We start from the raw sequence: 12,722 nt of genomic DNA, 5'->3' as shown, positions 1-12,722 counted from the left end.
AGTCAGGCCTTCCTTCTCGTCAACAAACAAGAAGGAAATAACCTCTTCTAATCTCATCAACTGACTCATTCATTTATTCACTTGGCAAATATTTCCTGAGCTCCTGCTCTGACGTGGGCTCCATGCTGGTACTGTACACACACTGGAGAATAAGATCGTTCCTCTCTCAACAAGCATATAGCATGGTTGGGAAAGGGAGCAAACAGGCAATTCTGCACAGGTGAGAGCTGCTCTAAGAGTCAGAGGAACTAGAATAAAAACGCTTACGAGGGATACCTAACTAGCCATGACAAGTAGAAAAGGTTTTTCAGAGATCTCAGATGACACCAGAAGGGGAATTAGTAATTAATCCGGTATAGGGCTTGGAGGTAAGGTTGAAAATAATTCTAGAGAAAAGGGTCAGTCTGTTCAAAGGCCTGATGGTGAAAAAGGGCTTGGTTCATCCGGGCATCTACAGGTGGCTCAGGATGGAAGAGGAATAGAGTGAGATCAGGCAAGTCATAAGAGATAAGGCTGGAGGGTAAGCCAGGGGTCAGGTTCCACACTGTCAGTATGACCAATTTTGGGGACAACAGAGAAACACTGAAGGTTTTTAAGCAGAAGCAGGAAGCACACAGATGTGTATGGTCCATGGGTGGGTGGACAAAAAGAGAGGGAAAGAGACCAACCGAGAAAGGAATGGGGTAGACAAGAGGAGAGGGAAGGAGCCAGAGGGGAGGAGGCTGCTGTAGCAATCCTTGCAAGAGACGACAGTGGCTCAAAACACAGAACAAAAGCCAGCTGGAGAGCAGTGGGTGGATTTGAGATGTGATGGAGAAGGAGGTGCCTAGGCTTGTTGATTGATTACTGACTGTGCTGAGGGGTGTGAGTGGGAAGAGCTAGGGATGATAAACTTGCACTTCTGGTGGTATTGACAGGCTGGGGTCGGCTGAGTTCCCACTCCCCTAAATACCATCTCTCAACTCCTACCTGCTTTCCTCCATTCTCACTGCCCCAACCAGTGCTGTGAGTCATGGCCACACCCACTGCCCCCATAACCACACAGCTACTGGCGTGATCTCCCTCCAACAGTAGTCCACTGCTTACAGACTGCTTAGTGGTTGACCGCGGTCTATGTAGTAACATCCATGTTCTGGATGTTGGCATGAAGATCCTTCACGATCTGGACCTATTTTTAGCCTCATCTCCCACTTCGTGTCTAATTCCAGCCCCTCTTGCCCTAGTCACATGACAATACTTGCATGTCCCCCATGAGCCACATGCAGTTACATCTCTGTGCTACTGCACATGTGTTCTTTCTGTCATGTACATCCTTCCCCTTCTCTGTGCCTAGATAATTCTGTGCATGGGCCACCTCCCAGCCCAGATAGACTGTGTTATGGGCTGATAACACCTGGGCCAGCTGTGTGGGCTTTCAGACCACGGGTCAGAATCTTGAGGAGCTTGTGGCTTCCTAGGTCACAGAGGCAGGGATGACATCCTCCTTTTTTAAAAATTTGAAGCTCAATGCTATCATTCTCCTCTCATTAACATTTTTTCTTGTGAGGTTCAGCTGATTTGGAAATTGCCCTAAGACTTAAGGCTCACTTGAAGTCCTGCTTGGAAGTCCTATGTAGTTGGGTTTAGCTCAGTGGTTCCCAATCGGGTGATTTTGCGCAACCCCACCCCCCCACCAAACCAAGGGGGACATTTGACAATGTCTGGAAACACTTGTCATTATCATAAACAGAGAAATCCTAGTAGGTAGAGGCAGGGAGATGCTGCTGAACCCCCTATAAGGAAGAGATAGCCCCCCCACAACAAAGAATTATCCAGCCTAAAATGTCAATAGTGCTGACACTGAGAAACCCTGCTGGATAAAGTAACAAGGTGCACCAAAGGGCAGCTCATTGTCTTACAAATGCCTTCTAGGCAGAAGAAAAACGCACCTTACAGCAAGGATCACAGTCTTCCTGAGCCTTCTGGCTAAGGCCTCACCTTTTCAACACTAACTAGTATTAGGGATGGAGAGGTCTATAATTCCCCATAATTCACTGGTAAAAATGTCCGGGACTGAGCTTTATGGGCAGGAGCTGGGGAGGAAGAGGGTGCATGGTGTCTGCAAACATTTCAGATCAGCAAAATCCTACTGGCTCCCTGCCTGTGCTTAGTCTACCCTGTTCCCCTATTTTGAATTATGCCTTTCGTTTCTCACTCCAGATATTTTTGAAATAATAAATTCCTTTTTTTTTTTTTTTGAAATGGAGTCTTCCTCTGTCATCCAGGCTGGAGTGCAGTGGTGCAATCTCGGCTCACTGCAACCTCCACCTCCCAGGTTCAAGCAATTCTCCTGCCTCAGCGCGCACCACCATGCCCGGCTAATTTTTGTATTTTTAGTAGAGACAACGTTTCACCATGTTGGCCAGGCTGGTCTTGGACTCCTGGCCTCAAGGGATCAACCCACCTCGGCCTCCCAAAGGGCTGGGATTACAGGTATGAGCCACCACACCCAGCCTGGAATAACAAATTCTTTCAATTCTCCTCTCCAAAGTGAGTATGGGCTAGGTGGGGCAGGCTGGGATGGACATGGCTCTTTTACAAAAAGGCAATGTGTTCTGGATGTGTTTCTCGAGCTTTGTAAAAGACATTCATCCCCAGAGTTGTTTATCTATTGTGACCTGATTTAATCTGTATCGACCTGATCTGACTTGTGTCATGCATGGATGAATTGCTTTAGAGACCTCACCCTAAACTGAGACGCATGTGGGGAACAAGGAGCTATGGACATGCTGTTGCTTGCCAAGACAATATATCTGGAAATCATGCTGCTAAGAAAATAATGTAACTTAGATCCTACGTATGTGTATGCCACACTTGGAGCAAGTCAAGGAATTGAAACCTGGTCTGCTACAGCACCTTTGAGCCATTTCTCTTTAAGCAACCTGTGCACTTGGCTCCCTGCATTTCTCCAAGAAACAAGGTAATATCAACAAGCAGATGCCTGGCAGTAGTTGAGATGAAAAGAAACTGAGCAATTTGAGGATTCAGGTCATATACATTCTTGCCAGTTATCAATTTATTGCCTCTTGGCTCTAAATCCATCCTTCTTTGCCCTGTTTCATGATACTGAAACTACACCCTGCAAACATTTCTCCTTTGTCAGCGAGTGCAGCGTTAGGCTTTCTCAGCAGAGGACGCTGGAGAGACAAGCGAGGTACTGCAGAGAAGTGGCTTCTCTTCCTGGATCAGGTGTTTCTTTCCTCCTGCAGTGTGTCTAACGCAGTGTGCAGGATGTCAGGGTGCTCCCTCTTCAGCACATTTCTCTACCACCCAGAGGCTGCCTCCTGTGAGTCAGTTTTACCTGCGGGCACTCCCTGGGGAAATTCTTGGCCACCTGGTGGGGTGGGTGTGTAGACCATTTCTGGTCCATCTGCACCCCCTACTGAGTGTCTCAGTCAGTGGGCAGGCTGCTTTTACAGACCCACTGCAGTCCAGAGCATCCACAGTGTGTTACCAAGACAGATGCACATTCTCCAACAAGGGCTGAACCTCAGGTTTTGTGGGGTGGGGTCTCCTCTTCCAAGTTCTTAGTTCCTGTCTTGTCTACTTTCCCTTAGCCTTAGAGGTAGAAGCTGCTGCCCACATTTATTATTCCTGTATTCCTCAGGGTCCTTCTTAACCACCTTTAATTAGTCACAAAATCTTTAAATTTTTCCTGTTTAAATTACTGCCATGGTTTCTGTCTCCTGACTGGGCCCTACAGGCACAACACTTTCCCCACTTACTTTGTTAAGGGAATAAATGCTTGGATTTTTCAGGGCTTAAGTAATGGGACTGTGTAGTTTCCTAGTGGATGCTACATTTCAAATGGCTAGGTTTTTGCTGTGACTGGACTCAAAATGAAAATGATACTAAGACTGGAAACACAATTATGACAGCAGTAAAGCTCAAGATAACGTGAAAGGTCTGAAATGGAAGAAATGCTTTGGCTTGACTCCTGAAAGCTCGTTGAACAAAACCAGCATGTGTTTCACAGAAAGGGCTGAGACCCAGGCAGGGGCGTTTTTTCTCACTCAATGTATAAACTCAGTCTACAAAGCTATCCTGAGGAGTCTGCTACAGTTGAAGCACTGTTCAAAAGTGACATGCTATGCTTGTCACAACTCGATGTCTGCCCCTGGTCCACCACTGGGTGACGTCCGGCAAGTCTGCTCAGCAGGCATTCCAAATCCCCTGCCTGCTCCAGCCAGCCAGAAGCAGGAGGCTGGGATCAACCGCATTATCTCTCTGGGCTCTGGCCATGGATAATGAACTGAGGCCAGGTACCGTGGGGTGCTGTCAGGACTGGGAACCCATCAGTGCCACACCAATAGGCCCCAGGGCTGCACAGAGGGCACTGGGAAGCCACTCAGATGTGCCCACGCTGGGCTAGGGTGTGTGTCCATTGCAAATGTAAACACGGCCTGTTTTTTAAGCCTGCTTTGTGTTTAATAATTAATGAAACTGACCATTAATGGGGCAGACTGCTCTGTTCCTTCTCCACTCACCGATTCTTACCTGCTCTGTTCCTTCTCCACTCACCCATTCTTACCTGCTCTGTTCCCTGCACCCTTTCCCACTGTGCCCTCGGGAGTAACCATCCTCACTAACGAACAACCCTTTGGGTCCTCTTCCTAACCATACACACACCCTCTTTCTTCTGTCCTTAACCAAAGCCTGCCCTCTTCTCCCAGCCAGCACTCCACTTCCTTGAAGCCCTGTGGAGTAAAAGCTGACCCTGTGGTCAGAAGGGGGTCTGGTGTCCACCCATTTTCCAGGCCCCTCTACACCTCTGATGTGAACCCCAACACCTTATGCTGGGTCCCCTCTGCCTGCACTGGGAGCCTTCCTCCAGCAGTGTACTCATCACAGACGATGACAGCAACCCCTCGCCTCGAGGTCTCCCTCTCCCTCCCAAGACTGTGCCTCCCTTCCTGCTCTCCTGCTCAGCTTCGTCTCCACTCTATCACCTGTTCACTCCACCACAGCCTGGCTTTCAACACACTCTCCCTGCATCCTATTCCACTCAAATAGCTGTGGCCAAAGGTAACACATGATGCACTGATGGCAAGGCCATAAGAAACTTCTCAGTCCTTCATTTCTCGATTTTATATGCTTTTTCCATGCCCTCATTGGAAGGGTTCCAGCCCCTTTCTCATGAATGTACATCAAGGGCCATCTGCTGGGACATCCAATTCCTGCTTAATTCTGAGGTCCCCTGTGAATGGATTTGAAAATGATGGTAAGTACAGAGTAGTGGATGGGAACACAGTCTCAGATGTACTGCCCAGCTTTGATTCTTGGCTCCAAAGGCATGATTCTGCTATTATCAGCTATAGTAAGTTAGCCTGGGTAAGTTATCTGACCTCAGTGTGCCTTAGTTTACTTATCTGTGAGATGGGAATAATAATGGTATCTCCTTCTTAGGGCTATTGTGAGCACTGAATGAATGCTACATGCTAGCATATAATAAGTACCTACTAAGGGCAGGCTGCTATCATTACTATTATTATCATCTGAGTGTGAGATAGCTCAAAGGCAAATGTAAAAACCCAACCTGGAGCCCCATCTGTGTTGAGCCTGTTCTTGGCCACAGTGGTGCAGTGGCCTCAACCCAGGGCTTCGTCCTTCCTGTGTCCCGTCTCCATTTATACTTCAGGGCCTGGCATTTGTTTAGTGGAGACTAGACAGAGGCATGGAGCTAAAGGCACTGGATGGTTGGGGCAGGGAAGTGGCCTGCCCACCTGTCTCGTCACGGCCACAGTGGGATGCTCCAAGACCTTGCCACGGTTGCGTGTTAGCTCTGCTCCGAAGCCTCTCTTGACCCCATCAGACATAACGACTGTCCTGGCCTGCAGCCACAAGGGCCCCCACGCAGACCATGGCTGCCGCACCTGCAGACTGTCCTGCCTGCCTCCCTTTACCTCTGTCTGTCTCCCCTGACCCAGTCTCTGGACTGTGTCCTTCTCTGGGTGGGGACCAGGTCTCCTGTCTTCCAGGGCTGATTCGGGGCCTGGCACTGAAGGTTTTTTTGAGTAGATCGGTGCCAGATGGTCCCTGGGCTTCCGGGAAGGACTAGGTACCCAGGAGGCCTTGAGTCTATGAGGCCCACCTTCAGGAGGAGGTGAAGGGGTCTCTCCACACCCGGGTGGGGAACCAGATGTGGAGAAGGATCTCACGTGTGACTGCAGGAAGGTGGATGCTATCCTGAGAAACAGGATTCTGGGCTCAAGGTGGTAACCGTGCTGAGTGCCTGGCTGACTTGAGAGCAACTGCTATGGGGTTTCTCCTTCCTCAGACAGGGTGCTGTGCTTCTAAACTGGGTTCCAGTGAACCACGTGGCGAGAATACTTAACAGACGAAGAGGAGACACACTGCAAGTAAATGGGACTAAGGCTGGAGGGACAAGCATGGCCTCAGGAAATGCTGTGCCCCAAGACCTCGGGCTGAGTGGGACGGACGTGCTGCTGTTAGTGGAGGAGGTGGGGAGGGCTGGGCAGCAGATGACAACTCCCCATTGTGTGCTAGGGGCTCTGCACAGCATTTTTCTTTCTTTTGTTTTTTCAGACAGGGTCTCACTGTGTCACCCAGGCTGGAGTGCAGTGGTGTGATCATGGCTCACTGCAGCCTCAACCTCCTGGGATCAAATGATCCTCCCACCTTAGCCTCCTGAGTAGCTGGAATTACAGGCATGCACCACAACACCTGGCTAATTTTTTTTTTTTTTTTTTGTAGAGACAGGGTTTTGCAATGTTGCCCAGGCTAGTCTTGAACTCCTGGGCTCCGGTGATCTGCCACCTTGACCTTTCAAAGTGCTGGGATTACAGATGTGAGTCACCGCGCCCTGCCTGCACAGAATTGTTCATAAGGCTGACAGACAAGCAGTTCTAATGGAAGCTTTTAACTTGCCACGTGGAAATTCAGATGTTTGGGCTCAGATTCACGCTCATCTGAGGAATCAATTCTGTAGAGAAAAGCTCTATGAGCCGCACTGCTGGGTGTCACCCAGTGACCTCACTGTGAGAAAGCAGGCACCAGCTTGGACTTCTTACCAGGACCACGGGTCTCTTATGAGCTTGTCCTGACGTGGAGTGGAACCCTAGCCCTGGGAGACATGCTGAGGAGGTTCCTTACACACACGGAGAGTGGGCAAGGCCCAGGATCCTGAGAAATGCACAGGACACAGCGGTTCCTTAACCCTCTATGGCCTGAGGTTTTGTTAACAAAGTAAGATAGGTGTTTTTAATATTTAAAAGAGACAGAAAACTTTGCAGTGTTATTTATGCAATTGATTGTCTCTATAGCTATTCTCTAGTTTCTTGAAACAAGACTATAAGGTTTTTGACTTGGGGGACCTGAAAATCCTTGCCAGGGCCATAATGGGTTAAAATGGTATTCAGATCACCTCACAGCACAGCAACATCATCCCAATGCCTTGAAAATGATAAAGTCAAATCACAAAGCCAAGGCCTAAGCATCCAGTCTCTTAGGAACACCATAGGCCTCCTCATAGCCAGAGAGAGAGGAGGTGCTTGGAAACCTCCAGACCTTGTTTTGGTAGCTGGGAGCTTGGAGCTCAGCCTCCTGAATTCAGGCTGTTCAGAAAGCATTTGTGCTGGCTTTCCCAGAATCTCACTCCCTCATTCCCCACCTACCGAACCCTGGAGTCCTGTTGGCAAGACTGGAGTAGGCATTCCCACTTGGCGAGGAGGTAGCTGGGCTGGAGAGGGGGCTGTAGGAAGAGGGGTCTGCCGGGTAGGTGTGGCTCGTTCCAATCCCAAAGGGAGATGACTGAGTCTTGCTGGACTGAGATGGGATTTGCTACAATCAGGACAAAGCAAAGAGATGGAAAGCATCACCAGCAGACCCCTGCACCCCAACCGATGCCCCAGGCTGGTCGCAGGGGCAGTGCCTGCTCTGGGTTGACAGTGACTCCCCATGACCCTCTTGTCTGGCTAGGCACAGGCCTGGGATCAGCCCGGTGTGTGAGGGCCCAGGAACTGCAGGATCTTTGGGGCACGTCTGGTTGAAGTTACTCCCCAGGGCTACGAGGATCCGGGCCCTCTGGAGTCTGGTTACCAAGGCCTTGGCATTATGAACACCTAGAACTCCCTCAGCCCAATCAACACCCACCCTCACAGTGACTATGAGGGTCTGGGGATGTCACAAGGGTTGGTGGTTTCATGCCCTCCTGGCGCAGGGGCAGCCAGAGGTCCAGAGTAGTGAGGGGCTCATTCTTGATGAGGTGTCTCAACCTGCCCAACCTTTCCCTGCCAGCTGCCTCAGGGCATGGCTGTAAGGAGAAAAGGCTGCTGAAGTTGCAGGCTGGGCACCTGGCTCTCCGAGAGCCCTGAGGGTGGATGGTGCTCCTGAGTAGCCAGCTGCTGTTAGGGTGGTTGGTTCCAGCTAGGAGCCGACCCATCCTCAGAACCGCAATCCAAAGAAAACACTTCCCAGAGTGCTCTGCCTCTCTGGTCACCCAGGGGAGATGCCCTCACAGATGCCCATACCTGTCCCGGAAAGGGCGGACGACTCCCTGTCCATGCCACCTGACTCTGGTTTAGCTGCCGGGAGATTTGGGACATGTTCTGGCCCGTGGAAGAAGAGGACTGAATATCATTCACTCCAGGCACATGAACCACTGAAGAGCTAGAAAAGAGGAAAATGCATTTATCCCGAGGACACACCTGGTTTGCATGAGTCTACGTGCCCAGCCAACCACACAATCTGCCCTGGGCCATCTTCCTGGCTCTCTCTCCATGCAGCACGTCACTAGAGAAAATGACTCACACATCGTGAGCCTCAAAGCCCCTTGGCCGTCCTCCTCTCCCTTCAGGGCTTCCTCTACACTGCTGAGTAGTCCTGCCATGTCTAGTAGTCTGGTACTTCCTCTCCTCGTTCTCCCCAGGGTCTCCCACGCACTCTTCAGCCCCTATCCTATGCCTGTACATCCTCTGCTCTCAGCAGATGATTTGGTTCCCAGAAAGAGAGAAGCTTCTTAGAATAAAAATCAGTCCCACTGTTCACTCACTCTTTTGTGCTCTGGTTAATTTGTTCCTTTGGGGCACCTATGAGGCTTAAGGATTCAGGAAATAGGTTGCAGGCTGTCAGTTTTAAACGGAAAGAAAAGCTTCTCAATGAAAACCTGCTGGATGGGGCCTAGTCCTGCTACCCAGAGTTTACCCCTCCCACCTTCAGTTCACCTTCGACTTAACTCAGTTTGTCTTTATTAGGCCCCTGCTGTGTGCCGTGCTCTCTGCATGGCCTTTGCAGGCTAAATCTCTGACCCTGCTTAGCTCCTCGGCAGGCACTGTCTGTACCACCAGGCGCTTCTTCCAGGAGATTTTCCAGGCTATGTCGATTACATGAGAAGCTCATCAAAGACTAAAAGGCTGGGGGCAGACTTTTACTTTGTTTCAGGCCCCTCCTCCTGCCTCCCTGGGACTAGCTCAGCATGCAGGGCAGTGCGCTGGGTGCCCATGAATCAGTCAAGTAGGGCAGAATGGGGCTCATCACAGAAGGCTTTGGTAGATTTTCAGCTCCGTGTTAAAAAAAAGGCAAGCCAGAGATCAGCAGAGATTGGGTAAAATTTTACTATTGTATTCTAATAAGTTTCCTATGCTATCTGATCCCTTTTAAAATAGGGAGAAACCAAGAATGTCAGAGACATTCTTGAGCTGATCATTGTAAAACAAGTTCAGTGGCTTATATAAAGGGGACATCATTTCTGTCTTCATACAATCAATTCCTCATTTAACATAAGGGCTCCTTTCCCATTCTCCTTCCTGATGAAAGTATTGCTTCAGAGGACATTTTCTGGTCACTATTGTCTAGTAGGACCCTCTCCACAGCCCCCAGCCCTTGGTGTCCTCCCCAAAACACTGACTGATGAGGGCCGCTACAGCGTAGACGGTCCTAGGAAAGGCGCCTTGGCAGAAAGGGATGGGCTTCTTGGGGCAAAGCGCCAGCCCTTGTGCACAGCCCTCCCTGGGGGCCTCTGGGCTACAGCTGCCTGCCTTAGTGTGGACAGGCAGGGGCCAAAACTGGCGGGACCAGAGAGGGAGGACTGTGGGTGAGGATGCACTTCAGGTGCCAGCAACACCATTCTGCAAGCGGCCCAGGATTCCCTATGGCTGTATTGGGCCCCAGAGTCCTTCATCCCACAGCCTACCCCATCCCAAGCCAGCTCAGATCCTTCGGATATACAGGAAATTCTGCCCATTCCACAGGCTTTAGCCCTAACAGGCATCCTTTAATTAACTCAGTCATTTATTCATTCATTTTACAGACTAGTACTCAGCAAGTGCCTTTTCTATGCCAGGCTCTGCACAGGTGTTCGGACGTTCCTTGGATTCCTTCCCCACACTGCCAGCTGCCCCAAACCTGCTTTTCCTTCCCCATCACTCATCACTGCCCTGTGCACCCTACATTTTTGTTTCTATGACAACAGCGTTACCCAGGCTCTGCACCTCACGCTGGACTGTCTGCCCTGAGCCCTGTCTGCAGCTTCACTCTTCTCCCAAAGGTCATCAGTGATGGTGTCCTCCTCCTCAGCATGGTCCCCACGGCTGCTGCTGCAGACACAGCTCAGGGCAGACAGTCCAGTGTGAGGTGCAGAGCCTGTGTGAGGCCGTTGTCATAGAACAACGTGGTCATCCTCTGTTTCTCCCATTAGTGAGGCCTCCTCCAACAACACCTCCTCCAAGGCTTCACTCAGCACACCCCTCAGGCCCTTGCACCCCTGCCCTGGTCAGGAGGCAGAACCTGACTTTTGCTTTCAGGCCTAGCTGAAGAGTCAGCCAGACCTTCTCCGGTCATGCCACCTTGGGCTGTCCCCTTGCCTTTGAACTGTCCCCTCCTTACCTCCTGCTGCTGTGCTCTCCCTGATCCCCTTTGTCCAGAGTGGAGGACAAGCAGCAAGTGTCACAAGGACCCCATGAACATGAGCACCCAGGCAGGGCTGGCACAGGGCTTGGCATCAACGGAGATCGGTCAGTGCGTGCTGAGTAGCTGAGTAACTCAGCAGCCAAGAGAAGTCTGGAGGGCTTGACTATTGCTCAGCAGAGCAGCGTGACCTGCGGTGATGATGGTTAGGGACTGCTCACAGAGGGCTGCCATCTTGTCTGCTGTCCCCAGACCAGAGGCCCTGCCTGCAGCCAGGGCTCCCCAGAGCCTCAGAGCAGTGTGCAATTCAGCAAGACTCAGCTGCAGGCGTGGCCAGAGCCCCTGCAATGTCTGCTAATCTGTCTCCAGGAGGTCTGTCCTTGAACCAGTGTGGAAGCAAAATCCTCATTCCTTGTGGCTAGGGCAGTCCCGTGGCAGGGGCCTCTCTCTGGGTGGCCGGCCCCACCTGCCCTCCTGGCCTCTGCATCTGGAAGCTCTGCTTAGGGTCTGGCCAACCTCACTGGAGAAGCCCTGCCCTGCTGGGCATGAGGAACTTTAGGGTGTCTGGTGGGCACAGGTGAGTGCCCACATACCCTCCCCAAGAGCTGCCAGCCTCTTCTCTGACCGTTCTTCCCAGTTGATGCTTCTGTCTCCCCAGAAGTCAGTGGAGCCAGGCCTTGCCTCCAGTGATGATGTCAGGGCTTCCTCAGTGACCTACCAGATGCCCTTGATGCTAAGAACCAACCCTTGGGAAGGTTGGACACCCTGCCTGAAGCCTTGAGTGCCCTTTAGGATGAGGCTCAGACGTGGTGGGCTGAGCTGACCAGTCTTCCTTGGATTTGGCTGTAGCCTCTGGGCACCAGATGACAGGATACTTCCTGCTACCTTGTCAGCTGTTCCCAGCTCCAGCTCACTTGGGTCCTGGCTAGAGGGAACTCACTCCCTTCTCCCTGGCAATCACTGCCACAGAACACAGTGGCTGGTGCTGTTCACATCCAAGAAAGAGTAACTGACACCAGGAATCTATGGCAACTCATAGAGGGCTCACAGAGCAGAAGCAGAGCCACCAGAATCCTCAGTTTAGTCCAAGGCCTGAGCGCCAGTAACCACTAACTCATGCTTACAGCCCACAGAGCTGTGCTCTGAGACCCAGGGCTTTCTTGGTGAGGGAGCATCTTCCCACGCCATTGTCCCCCTCGCTGGCACATACCTGAAGGCCTTCCCGGAGTGTCCAGAGGGAAATGGGCTTCCTTGGGAGTAGATCTGCTGGGTTCCTGCTGCAGAGGCTGAGCTCATCATCTTCTTCTCCGCTAGGAAAACCAGAGCAGGAGTCACATGCGAAGGTTCCCTGCTCTGCAGACCACAGAGGAGGCTGCCCCAAGAAGAGGTGCAGGGGTGGGCGTGGGAACGGGAGGACACAAGTCAGGGCAGCCCGCCTGCACGCAATCTTCTCAGCCTTGCCTCTGCCTCCTCATCTCCCCTGGAGCCTCCCTGGCATATGAAGGCACTGGGCTGTTGTTCTTGACCCCTAGGCTAGGCCACAGGCTGCTTGACGGCAAGGCTTTTTTGGAGAGTGGGGAAGATTAAAAGAATTAATGAGGCTAGGCATGGTGGCTTGCACCTGTAATCCCAGCATTTTGGGAGGCTGAGGCAGGCGGATCACTTGAGGTCAGGAGTTCAAAACCAGCCTGGCCAACATGGTGAAACCTTGTCTCCACTAAAAATACAAAAATTAGCCAGGCATGGTGGCAGCCATCTGTAGTTCCAGCTACTCGGGAGGCTGAGGCAGGAGAATCGCTTGAGCCCAGGAGGCGGAGGCT

General features: G+C 51.4%; 1 protein-coding gene, 1 long non-coding RNA gene and 1 other non-coding gene across 3 annotated transcripts in view; 1 reads left to right on the top strand and 2 right to left on the bottom strand.

The window, feature by feature from the left end:
• ARNT2 (aryl hydrocarbon receptor nuclear translocator 2) overlaps positions 1-12,722 on the bottom strand; it is a 193,552-nt gene that overhangs the window by 8,856 nt on the left and 171,974 nt on the right. Inside the window, exons 15-17 of the mRNA NM_014862.4 lie at positions 12,113-12,212; positions 8,529-8,667; positions 7,674-7,839 (exon numbers count right to left, since the gene is read on the bottom strand). Coding sequence (NP_055677.3) covers positions 7,674-7,839; positions 8,529-8,667; positions 12,113-12,212 — 405 coding nt within the window. The remainder of the gene's footprint in view (positions 1-7,673; positions 7,840-8,528; positions 8,668-12,112; positions 12,213-12,722) is intronic.
• Positions 4,521-9,048, top strand: ARNT2-AS1 (ARNT2 antisense RNA 1). The gene is made up of 2 exons (XR_007064732.1): positions 4,521-5,260; positions 6,317-9,048. It is a non-coding gene; the product is annotated as an ARNT2 antisense RNA 1 (long non-coding RNA).
• On the bottom strand, positions 7,839-7,975 carry MIR5572 (microRNA 5572). Its single transcript, NR_049837.1, has one exon. It is a non-coding gene; the product is annotated as a microRNA 5572 (primary transcript).

Source organism: Homo sapiens, chromosome 15 (assembly GCF_000001405.40).
Source record: "Homo sapiens chromosome 15, GRCh38.p14 Primary Assembly".
Lineage (NCBI taxonomy): Eukaryota > Metazoa > Chordata > Mammalia > Primates > Hominidae > Homo > Homo sapiens.
The sequence above is the reverse complement of the archived record's forward strand: the minus strand, read 5'-3'. Positions and strand labels throughout refer to the sequence as shown.